General features: G+C 38.5%; 1 protein-coding gene across 18 annotated transcripts in view; it reads right to left on the bottom strand.

Annotated features, from left to right (window-relative positions):
* NFAT5 (nuclear factor of activated T cells 5) overlaps window positions 1–12,250 on the bottom strand; it is a 138,689-nt gene that overhangs the window by 22,594 nt on the left and 103,845 nt on the right. For all 18 annotated transcript variants that reach the window (XR_007064848.1, NM_138714.4, NM_138713.4 and 15 more), the window contains 3 exons: window positions 11,950–12,084; window positions 11,773–11,825; window positions 4,726–4,858 (listed from right to left, as the gene is read on the bottom strand). Coding sequence is in view for 17 of the 18 variants with exons in the window: in NM_138714.4 (NP_619728.2) it covers window positions 4,726–4,858; window positions 11,773–11,825; window positions 11,950–12,084 (321 nt within the window). In the remaining variant the exon portion in view is untranslated. The remainder of the gene's footprint in view (window positions 1–4,725; window positions 4,859–11,772; window positions 11,826–11,949; window positions 12,085–12,250) is intronic.

Below are 12,250 nucleotides of genomic sequence, written 5' to 3'. Positions count from 1 at the left end.
GGATGTTAGAAGGTCTGTACCTGGAAGAATGTGTGGAACCAGGACATGTTCACTTGAGCCTTTGCCTTGACCCTACCTTTAGACCATGTAACAGGCACCCAGGATCCCTAGATTTTCTTTTCTTTCTTTTTTTTTTTTTTTTTCAGATGGAGTCTTGCTCTGTTGCCCAGGCTGGAGTACAGTGGCGCGATCTCAGCTTACTGCAAGCTCTGCCTCCCGGGTTCATGCCATTCTCCTGCCTCAGCCTCCTGGGTAGCTGGGACTACAGGCACTTGCCACCACACCTGGCTAATTTTTTGTATTTTTTAGTAGAGACGGGGTTTCACTGTGTTAGCCAGGATGGTCTCGATCTCCTGACCTCATGATCCGCCCACCTCGGCCTCCCAAAGTGCTGGGATTACAGGCGTGAGCCACCGTGCCCGGCCAATCCCTAGATTTTCTGTACAACTATCCTAGATTTTGTGAGCACTCTTAGGCATATTAGGTGGAAACACTGATTAAGGTATCAAAGGCTTCCAAGTATAGGATGGAGCCAAAAAGTGGCAAAAGAAGGGTGGCAGGCAGGGATGCTCTCTCCTCATGCTACCATAGCCCAGCTTAGAACTCAAAGCAGTTTGAAAATTCTAAATTCAAATTTAGCCTTTCAGGTTGTTATGAGGGTATTTTGGTCAAAGTAAGATAGGAGGTATTTCACTTAATGATTTGTTAGTTTTATTTATAACTTTTAAGTATTTCAACTAATAGTATTAACAGTCACCACTTCTACTCCAACCCGTAAATATTAGGATGGACCTTGTTTTGGCTGCTATAATAATACACTATCGAGTAATCAAATATTTAACAACAGTCCCTAAATGAATCACAACAGCTATTAGTTTGTCATACTGAGATAGGCCAAATTCTCTGTGCCCAAGTTTTCCTGAAATCATATTCTCTCTCATGGCTTCCAAGACACTTCTCATGGACACTTGAAAAGATTATTACATTTCATAAAATACAAAAAAGTACAACTGTGGCTCATGCCTGTAATCCCAACACTTTGGGAGGCTGAGGCGGGCGGATCACTTGAGGTCAGGAGTTAGAGACCAGCCTGGCCAACATGGTGAAACCCCGTCTCTACTAAAAATACAAAAATTAGCCAGGTGTGGTGGTGGGCACCTGTAGTCCCAGCTACTTCGGAGGCTGTGGCAGGAGAATTGCCTGAACCTGGGAGGTGGAGGTTGCAGTGAGCCGAGATCACGCCACTGTACTCCAGCCTGGGTGACAGAGCAAGAATTCATCTCAAAAAAACAAAACAAAATAAAAACAAAAAAACAAAAAAATGAAAATTGCAGGAAGACTAATTAGCTGTATCATAGAGGCAGAAGCTAAGACATTAGATTGTATTACAAAGTTTGCATACCTTATATTTATTCAAACAAGGTTTTCTAAGAGTGATTGCTATCTGTAACATACAAAATATGCTGGGGGAAAACTTGAAAGAGCAAACATACAGTAATGATTGCCTAAGAATGGCCAAAATTAGGCAATTAGTATAGCCTTTGAAGTAGAATACTTAAAAGTTGTTTGTTCAGCAATTTATCAAAGGCCAATTTCTAATAATTAGCATTTATCACTAAGAAATGATGATTCTTAGTGTTGATGCTAAGTACTTCAAAGTCCTGAAGTCTCATATCAATAAAAACAAAGAAACAAGTGAAGACAAGAAAATCTCAGTGTTTTCAGGATAGCAAAACCTTTAAGGCTATTTCCTGACATAAATTCCTTTCCCTTCCAACACAACTGATGCAGAAGCTCATCAGGAAACAAATCCTATGTATTAATTATACCATCTTTCTTCTCATGTTTGTGCAAGCTCCTGCCAAACATTAAATGTCAATATTTAGTAACTATCAGTTACTAAAATGCTTTAACTATCATTAATTTTCTTTCCTTTTTCTTTTGAGATGGAGTCTTGCTCTGTCGCCCAGGCTGGAGTACACTGGCGCAATCTCAGCTCACTGCAAGCTCTGCCTCCCAGGTTCATGCCATTCTCCTGCCTCAGCCTCCTGAGTAGCTGGGACTACAGGTGCCCACCACCGCGCCCGGCTAATTTTTTTGTATTTTTAGTAGAGATGGGTTTCACCGTGTTAGCCAGGATGGTCCTGATCTCCTGACCTTGTAATCCACCTGCCTTGGCCTCCCGAAGTGCTGGCGGGGATTACAGGCGTGAGCCACCATGCCCAGCCAACTATTATTAATTTTATATCAAATTTCCTTAGATGTTTTAAGCCTTCCTAGAAAGGAAACAATAAAATATTTGGTCTTTGAGAATAAGCCAATCTTCTTTCTCCTATTTTTGTTGAAGCCAGGATGTTATTTCTAAACTTTGCCTTTTTGGTCCAATGTTTTCACACATGATCTTTAATTCTGAGACAAATATCAAGGTTATTTATTTATTTATTTATTGACAAAGTCTCACTCTGTTTCCCAGGCTAGAGTATAGTGGTGTGATCTTGGCTCACTGCAACCTCCACCTCCCGGGTTCAAGAGATTCTCCTGTCTCAGCCTCCCACGTAGCTGGGTAAACAGGTGCCCACCACCACGCCTGGCTAATTTTTGTATTTTTAGTAGAGAGGGGTTTCACCATGTTGGCCAGGCTGGTTTTGAATTCCTGGCCTTAAGTGATTCGCCCACCTCGGCCTCCCAATGTGCTAGGATTACAGGTGTGAGCCACCATGCCAGGCCTTCAAGGGGTATTTTAACAGTGCTGTACTGTGGCATACCTTTTGTAACAAATTAGTAGAAAATAATGTTGCAAAATTCAGATACGATTAAGAATAAAATATGAGGCTGGGAGTGGTGGCTCACGCCTGTAATCCCAGCACTTTGGGAGGCCGAGGCGGGCAGATCACCTGAGGTCAGGAGTTTGAGACCAGCCTGGCCAACATGGCAAAACCCTGTCTCTACTAACAAAAATTAGCCATGTATGGTGGTGCATGCCTGTAGTGCCAGCTACTCATGAGAGGCTGAGGTAGGAAAATCGCTTGAACCTGGGAGGCAGAGGTTGCAATGACCCAGGATCACGCTACTGCACCCCAGCCTGGGCAACACAAGACTCCATCTCAAAAAGAAAAGAAAAGAAAAGAGAATAGTGAATAGAAAAATTAAGTGACAGAAAGCAATTAACTTAAATTAGTTGTTATTCTGTCCTAGCTACTGTTTTCTTCACTTTTTGATGCCAGGGCTTTCTTTCTTTGCCCCATTCTTTACCTTCTACCTCACTGGATCTTGAACTATATGGAAATAACATACTAATAAACTACAGATAGAGAAGAACTGCTAATTCTGAAGTATGCTTGAGACTGGACTGAACTGAACCAATGGTAAACATGGCAGAAGCCAAGCCTAGGTCAATGGAGCATGCAAAGAGTTTCCATTTCCAAAATGTTCTCCCCATTTCTGCCAAAAGGAGGCTTTTTGCTTTTTTCAGGCATCTAAATGAATGCAGGCAAATAACTTGTGAGACACTTCATAAATAGGTATCTTCTAAACTTTGAACATTTTAGGGTCGGACGTGGTGGCTCATGCCTGTAATCCCAGCACTTTGGGAGGCCGAGGCAGGTGGATCACAAGGTCAGGAATTTGAGACCAGCCTGGCTAACATGGTGAAACCTCGTCTCTACTGAAAAAACAAAAATTAGCTGGGCGTGGTGGTGTACACCCGTAGTCCCAGCTACTCGGGAGGCTGAGGCAGGAGAATAGCTTGAACCCAGGAGGTGGAGGTTGCAGTGAGCCAAGATCGCGCCATTGCACTCCAGCCTGGGCGACACAGCGAGACTCCGTCTCCCACTCACATGCAAAAAAAAAAAATTTAGTTCCTCTCATTTCTAAAATATCAGGTTTTTGTTTTGTTTTCTGTCTTTGAGACAGTCTCGCTCTATCGCCCAGGCTGGAGTGCAATGGCACAATCTCAGCTCACTGCAACCTGTACCTCCCAGGTTCAGGCAATTCTCCTTCCTCAGCCTCCCCAGTAGCTGGGATTACAAGCACCCATCACCACACCCAGCTAATTTTTTTTTTGTATTTTTAGTAGAGACAAGGTTTCAACATGTTGGCCAGCCTCATCTCAAACCCCTGACCTCAGGTGATCCACCCGCCTCGGCCTCCCAAAGTGCTGAGATTACAGGTGTGCATCACCGCACCCAGCCTAAAATATCGTTTTAACCCAACCAAAGTTTTATTTAAAATATTTATCAGGTATTATGGGGCAATATAGAAAGAAAAAAATATTTATTCACCATCAGTCTTTGGGATTTTTTATTTTATCACCTGTCACTCTAGTTTATCTCTTCTCTCTCTCAAAATGTACCCTATAAACCAGCCAAACTAAACTATTAGCAATTTCCCAAAGTTGTCACTTTCAGGTTTCTGCACATAAGCGGTAGTCAATGCATGGAAATTCTTATGGAGGAGTAACCTGTCAGATAGCTTCAGAGAATCTGACTTCAGAGCATTGCTGCCTTTTATTATTATAGCATAAGGTAGAAATGATTCCTTAATATAAGAGTAAAAGCAGTATCTGGCGGCTGTCCTCTTAGAAAATAATGTCATTTCCAAAAGAAACTAACATCAATTCATCTTAGTGAGCAACTTTCTTTTTGGTTGGCTAGTCATCTTCATATTCTTTCAAAAAACTGGAAATTAATTATTTGTTTTAGTTCTGAATTTTTCATTTTGACATACCTGGGTCTGGAGTGTAAGTGAATGGTTGAACATCATGAGATCTTCCAGCATTTGTCACTACATATATTCCCACTGACACAGGCAAAGTTATATGTTGGTCATGATAGGGAGGAACCTTCACAATAAGATGATTCTAATGTAAAGAAAAGCACAAGAGTTGGAAAAGAAGCAATACTTAAATTTAAAAATTTTAAATGAAGTATATTTCCTGTTAGCTGTAAAGTTTAAAAAGTGATTAAAAAAAAAAGAATGCATTTTAAAGCTCAGGTTCACAGGCATCAGGATATTAATCTTAACACTGCTTTTAAGGTAAAATCCAAGTGTTTTATAATGGCTTACAAGGTCAAGATCCCTGCCCTGTCAACTTCATCTCATTCCTGCTCTTCTAGCTCACTACACTGTAGCCACACTGACCTCGGTCCCTTCTTTTAACATACTAAACTCAGTTTTACCTCAGATTCTCTATACTTGTTATTCTCTTCAATTGCAATATTATTCCTTCACCTCCTCAAATGGTGAGTTCCTAACCCATTATCAGGTCAGATACAAATGTCACCTCAAAGAAGCCTTCCCTGATCATCCTATTTAAAGCAAAACCCTTCCCCAACCTTATAACATAATCTTGTTTATTTCCATAACAGCACTTATCCTCACCCCTGCAAATTACCCTATTTGCTTGTTTTTTGGTCTTTCTCCAAACATAAGAATGTAAGCTCCATGAGGATCTAGGCTGTTTTGTTCTTCACTCTGTCTCACTTGTAAAGAATAGTACCTTACATAAGGTACATATTGAATAAAAGAATGAATAAATTATTAGAAAAAAAATATGCCCACCAAGGGCAAAGTCAGTTACCATACATTCTGTACAACCTCAATGTGAGATGTATTTCACAATGCAGTTCGCTACTCCTAACAACATAATTCTCATTTTAAGTCAAATTGGGTTCAGTTTATCCACATCTCAGTAAACCAAAGATGTTTTTAGTTGGAACAGTGGCAGAAGCATCCTTATAAGAGAAAGGCAGAGTTCATAAAAGTTTCACCAGTACTTACTCAAGGGTACTATATCTTCTTAGAGGGTAATATGAGCCATATTTGACTTTTTTTTCTTCTTCCCTAGTAGATTATTATAATGGTAGGGGATATCACAGGGTAGTGATTATGCTTTTTCACTAATGATCTGATTTGCAGGAGGCCGAAGCTGACAGCTGAGGGTGACGTGAGTTTGATGACATTTAAAATTTAGTTAGACTACATAGTTCGTTGACTCAGTTGAATAGAAAATATGGGACAAATGAGATCAAGGTCAAGGTTTCCATTTCTGAGAATTTAATTTGTTTCTGAGCCATCTTAAAACACTCTCTGAAATACAGTCACATTATAAATAAAGAACTAGGCCAGGCATGGTGGCTTACGCCTGTAATCCCAACACTTTGGGAGGCCGAGGTGGGCAGATCACCTGAGGTCAGGAGCTTGAGAACAGCCTGGTTAACATGGTGAAACCCTGTTTCTACTAAAAATACAAAAAATTAGCCAGCCCTGGTGGCACATGCCTGTAATCCCAGCTACTCAGGAGGCTGAGGCAGAAGAATCGCTTGAACCCGGGGGGCGGAGGTTGAGGTGAGCCAAGAGCGCGTCATTGCACTCCAGCCTGGGCAACAAGAGCGTAACTCTGTCTCCAAAACAAAAAAAACAAAAAAACAAAAAACTAGCTTCTAATTTACGGCATTAACAGAATGCCTCCTAAGTTGGCCATCTCAAAAAAACCACATTCTTTTCAACTAGGTGGAAAAACATGTACAAATATGCATACATCCACAGTTATAAGGCAGGAGCTAAATCTGAACACATACAAGGTCATAAAAAACGCACTGGTATTGATCTAACTTCTAAGAAACAGAGTTACTGAATCTTGTCTACCTCATTTTTACTCTGTTGTTTAAACACTACAACTATGTCACAGAAACAGTCTATCTAGAGTTAAGGAGATGGTTGAATGAACAGCTTGTGAGAGCTCTCACTCTTAAAATTGTTTGGCAAACTCCATAATTCAAACTATTCTTTTGAATAAAAACTTGTTTCTTGGCAATTAGTAACAGGACTAGTGTCTACAAATCAGATGCATATTTTATCAAAATACTTTTACTCTACTTGCTTTGGAGAGCACATTTAAGTAAAACTAATTTTGAAACCTTTTAAAAACCAAATGAACCTATTTTGCTACTAATTCTTCAAACTTCCTCAATCTGAATCTAGAAATTCTACAACTGATCTGAATTAAAAATTAGGTAAACTGTCACTAGTGATCAAAAGCTATTTTTAATACCCTCTCATAAATTAGAAACAATTAACTATCACTGAGCTAGGGATACAGTACATACAAAACATACAAAGGGTTGGGAGGCTTTGGGAGCAGGTATAATGCTCTTTGGGATAAAAAGAGGAAAACAATTGAATTTTAACTTCTTAGAAAAATCTGCTTAGATTCAAATAACTTTTTCCCTAGCAGATAATCTTTTTCAGAGTGTACCAGCAATGGTGCTAGATATCTTTCACTCTTCTATGAGATACTTTTTATTTTGTCACATTAATTTTACAGTTGGGAATATATATAATCAGAATACCTACATAATTAGAATATCTACAATTAGACTTGACCAAAGACCCATTACAAAATTACTCTTAGAACTGATTTGAAAAACATAACTCTAAGCTTTCAAGTCTTTGTTTAGTCTAGTTCTTCCCACAAATTCTTCTGAGGATCTTTTTTTTGTACTTCTTTCAAGAATTTTCTTTCCACATTTATACCATCTTCCCCTGAGCTATCCTTTTATGTATATTTGTATATATAGATTGAATATCCCTTTATATATATTTTTAATAGGTAATTAATGTTATATATAACTCATCTACAGTTGTTAAAAGGGAATAGACATAATGAATGATCATGTACCCATCATATTTGGTATACATGAGCATGAGGTATACTATGGACCAGAAGACCAGAAAACAATTGAACAAAGAATTGTTTTTCCAGACTTCATTAGTCTCAATATTTATAATACCGTATTACTTTTTTTTTTTTTTTTTTTTTGAGACAGTTTCACTCTTGTTGCCCAGGCTGGAGTGCAATGGCGTGATCTCAGCTCACTGCAACCTCCGCCTCCTGGGTTCAAGTGATTTTCTTGCCTCAGCCTCCTAAGTAGCTGGGATTACAGGCATATGCCACCACACCCAGCAAATTTTTGTATTTTTAGTAGAGATGGGGTTTTGCCATATTGTCTAGGCTGGTCGCGAACTCCTGACCTCAGGTGATTCACCTGCCTCGGCCTCCCAAACTGCTGGGATTATAGGCATGAGCCACACGCCTGGCAATATTTATAATATGATAGAAAAAGTGTAATACCTGATGAATTGATTTTGGGTTTGCAACTGAACAGCTATTACAATCTTTCACAACTGCAATTTGTGAAATTATCTTTAAATGGTCTTTTCTACTATACCATCTGCTGGGTATTTTTAAATATTGTAGAGATTCCCTTTCAACTTTTTTTGTGTAGGCCTAATATTTCTTTACTGATCACATCCAAAGTGTGTTGTCTTTTTTTTTTGTTTGAGACAGGGTCTCACTGTCACCCACGTGGAAGTGCAGTGGCGGAATCAGGGCTCACTGCAGCCTCAACTTCCTGGGCTCAAGTGATTCTCTGACCTCAGCCTCCCAAGTAGCTGGAACTATATGCATGTGCCACCATGACTGGCTATATTTTAAATTTTTTGTAGAGATGGGATCTCACTATGTTGCCCAGGCTGGTCTTAAACTCCCAGCTTCAAGCAATCCTCCTGCCTCTACCTCCCAAAGTGCTGGGATTATAGGTATGAGTCACTATGCCCAGTCTCAACACATTTTCTTCCCCCTAAAGGTTTGCTTTGTGGGTTTTCTTCCTTTATATAATCTCTAGAATCAATTCTCTAGGATCTCAGCTCTGATTCCACTCAAAGAAAAGGCTTCCAAGAAAACCCCTTTAGAAAAAAAATAAAATAAAACCTCTCTCTGAAAAAGATAAAAATGAACAAAACCACAGAATTAATGACAGATTATATTATGATTTAGTTTGTTTACATACTTGCTTGCAAAAACCCCAGGACCTCTAGATATAGTCACCAAATAAGGATATAATTCCTTTCCATTCCACCACGTGTCTTATTTTTATGATTATTATTCTTTAACCTACTGTAGCTGGCATAACTGCCCTGAAAAAAAGTGTTTTAAAAATATAACTACCCCATGCCTCAAAAGGCAAGAGAGAGAGAGAGAAAGAAAAATGGAGGTAGGGAGGGAGGATAACTTATGAATATAAAGTTCTATACAAAATAGCAAGTTAATACTACAATTTGTTGGGGCTATGTCATTGATATTTTGTATAATTTATAAGGCAAGTCTCTCAATCTCCAGAAATAGTCTCCTTATCTATCAATCTTTATCATAAGAATAACAATCATAATAGAGCATTACAAGCAAGGGAGTCTACATTAATCTAACTAATTTGTCAAGAAACAAAACATGTTCATAGCATACAAAAGTACTGCATGAATAAATTAAGTTTCAGTTAGGATTACAACTCTAGGTATTTAAAGACCTGGCTGAAATTAGGGTTTGAAGTATCCTCGGAAAGAACAAATGAACCTTACTTAGACCACACAGTCACCCATTTTTTTCTTCAAGGTGAATAAAATGAACTAATAAGTTTTTCTTGTGTATCTATTAAGTGTTTGGTATTACAAGGAACACAGAAGAATTATAATACATTGCCTCTAACCTCCAGGAGTACTCCAGAGGAAGCTATTGTTGGTTCATGGGAGTGGAGATGGTCTGATCAAATAATATAAGAAATAATAAAATGTTAGAGTCAGAGGAGTCTCAAATAATCTAATGAAAGCGCTTATCTTACAGATCAGAAAACTGGAGCACAAAAGTCATTTGTCTTACTTAGTTAACACAGATTGCTAATGACAAAGCAGGTATTAAAACTTCAATTAAGACTAGTCTGACTATAAACCCTAGGAGATATTGCCCAATGGTCTGTGTGACAAAGGAATGTTTGTTAAGTCCCATTATCTCTTTTCCACAACATGTAGTTGCATAAGGCCAGAGGAAAACTTGCCACATAGCATTTGTCTAGATATATAGGAATCTCCACACTATACGATATTGTCTAGGAAATAATTAACTTTACCCAGAGAGAGTTCTGGTCTTTACCTCTGGCTGCTAGGAGGTAATCTCTAGGTTCCTGCAATGTCTTGTGTGACAGTGATATTTACTTGAGAGCTTTGGTCGCTGGATAGTCTAACAATGTGATTTATAACAGAGGCTTTGGAACACACCATATCAATTCTAACCTTGTGGAAGTGAAGACCAAAGGTAGCTGCATGGGCAGTATATAATCAGGTCTGAAATAATAACTCTGGACACCAAAGGCTTGGGTGAGCTTCCCTGCTTGGTAATTCTCTGCATATTGTTATCATCACACATTGCTATGCCAAGATGGTAATGTCTTCCTGAGGATGACAGAAGGTTAGTGCCTGGGACACTCCGAGACCTTGTGTTATGCATCTCTCCCTTTAGCTGATTCTGATTTCTGTCCTTTTGTTGTAAAACTATAGGCACTAGGCCAGGCACAGTGGTTCACACCTGTAATCCCAGCACTTTGGGAGGCCAAGGCGGGCAGATCATGAGGTCAGGAGATGGAGGCCATCCTGGCCAACATGGTGAAACCCCGTCTCTTCTAAAAATACAAAAATTAGCTGGACATGGTGGCACATGCCTGTAGTCCCAGTTACTCAGGAGGCTGAGACAGGAGAATTGCTTGAACCAGGGAGTCAGAGGTTGCAGTGAGCTGAAATCGCGCCACTGTATGCCAGCCTGGCGACAGAGCAAGACTGTCTTAAAAGAACAACAACAACAAAACAAAAACAAACAAACAAAAAAACTACAGGCACTAAGTATAGCACTTCCCAGAGTTCTGTGAATTTTTCTAGGAAGTTATCAAATCCAAGGGGACAGTAGGAAAAATACTGTTTGAGCCACTCGTTCAAAAAAAGAGGGTGGCCTGGGGACCTTTGAACTTGTGTCTGGTGTATGAAGTGGCAACAGTCTTGGCTGTGCCCTGAGCCTTGAGTGTGGCAATATATTGGATATATGTTTTAAATTTTATTAGGTTTTTAAAAATACACAAAGGAATAAAAAATAAATTTTAAAACAACAAGGAAATTATAAACTTTTTGGATAAAGTGGCTATAGATTGTCTAATTTTTGCATCTTCTATTTCTCTACCTTCTGTCATGTGCTCTTTTCTTTCCCCATCAGCTTACACTAAATTTTAGGCTTTGGGTAATTTACACATTAGCTTGTTCCTGTTTCTCTCTTCTCTCTCTGTCTCAGTTCTACACCTGTACATACTACCTCTTCTCCATGTGCCTTCTAACTTGCTTATAAATTTGGCCTTCTGTTAGTCTCAATTTCTAGGGGTTTGGTCCTGTCTGCTCTAAATACGAATTCCTAAGTCAGGTCTTGATCCTTGTTTTCAAGTTTTCATTGTTATTTGGGAAACAATACATGGTGAGGTCCTGCAAATACAGACTAATATCAGTGTGATGAGTGCTTCTAAACACAAGAAGGTTTAACAAATATAAAGTACCTGAAACATAACAGATTCTCAATAAATATTGGTTTCCCTTTTATTTAACTATATAGTGGATTAAGATTATGCAAATCCTCAGAGAAAATAAGTATCAGGAAAGAAAGATTTTGTTTATTAACAATGGAAACATTTGTTAATGATCCTAACTTTTTAAAATAGAGGTGGTCATGTTTACCATTAGGAAAATAATTCTATTTCAGTTAAAGAAACTCAAGAAAGAAACTTTAAATAATTCATATCAATCCCATAGGAAGAAGAAATTTAATCTATTGATTCAGGAAAATTTCAAAACAAAACTGAATTGCTCAGAGAGTAAATAACCAAATTATAAAAAAAGCTTAAATTTTACCTGATGAAATAGTTCCATATCAATTTCAGCTTCTGACTTCCAAGAGTTTTCATCTGATTGAAATAAAAAGTGATTTATTAAATTTTTGAACTATTTTTTTTACTCTGTAGCTATGACTATATCCATATAACAAAGTGAAAACATACAAATATCTGTACCACAAATATGCGTACTTACCAGAAACATTTTCTTGGAAAATAACTTTAGTTCCTTTCAGAAAGTTCTTGCCGATTAAAAACACTTCTTCTTCTCCTTTCACTGAACAGCTATGCAAGCTTTTCTTTAAGATTTCTGGCACTCCTGCTGGCTGAGCTGTGGAGATACATAAGCATTCTATAAGAAGAACCACCAAAACTTATTTCTTACCTAAAATCAACTTGCAATCATCCGGTTCTATGAGTTGTCTTTATTGAAGGAGGAGTAATAAATATTTTTATAGTTACACAATTATCTGGAAAGGCTATAATTCTTGCTCTAC

Source organism: Homo sapiens, chromosome 16 (genome assembly GCF_000001405.40).
Source record: "Homo sapiens chromosome 16, GRCh38.p14 Primary Assembly".
NCBI lineage: Eukaryota > Metazoa > Chordata > Mammalia > Primates > Hominidae > Homo > Homo sapiens.
This window is presented reverse-complemented; position numbering and strand designations above follow the sequence as displayed.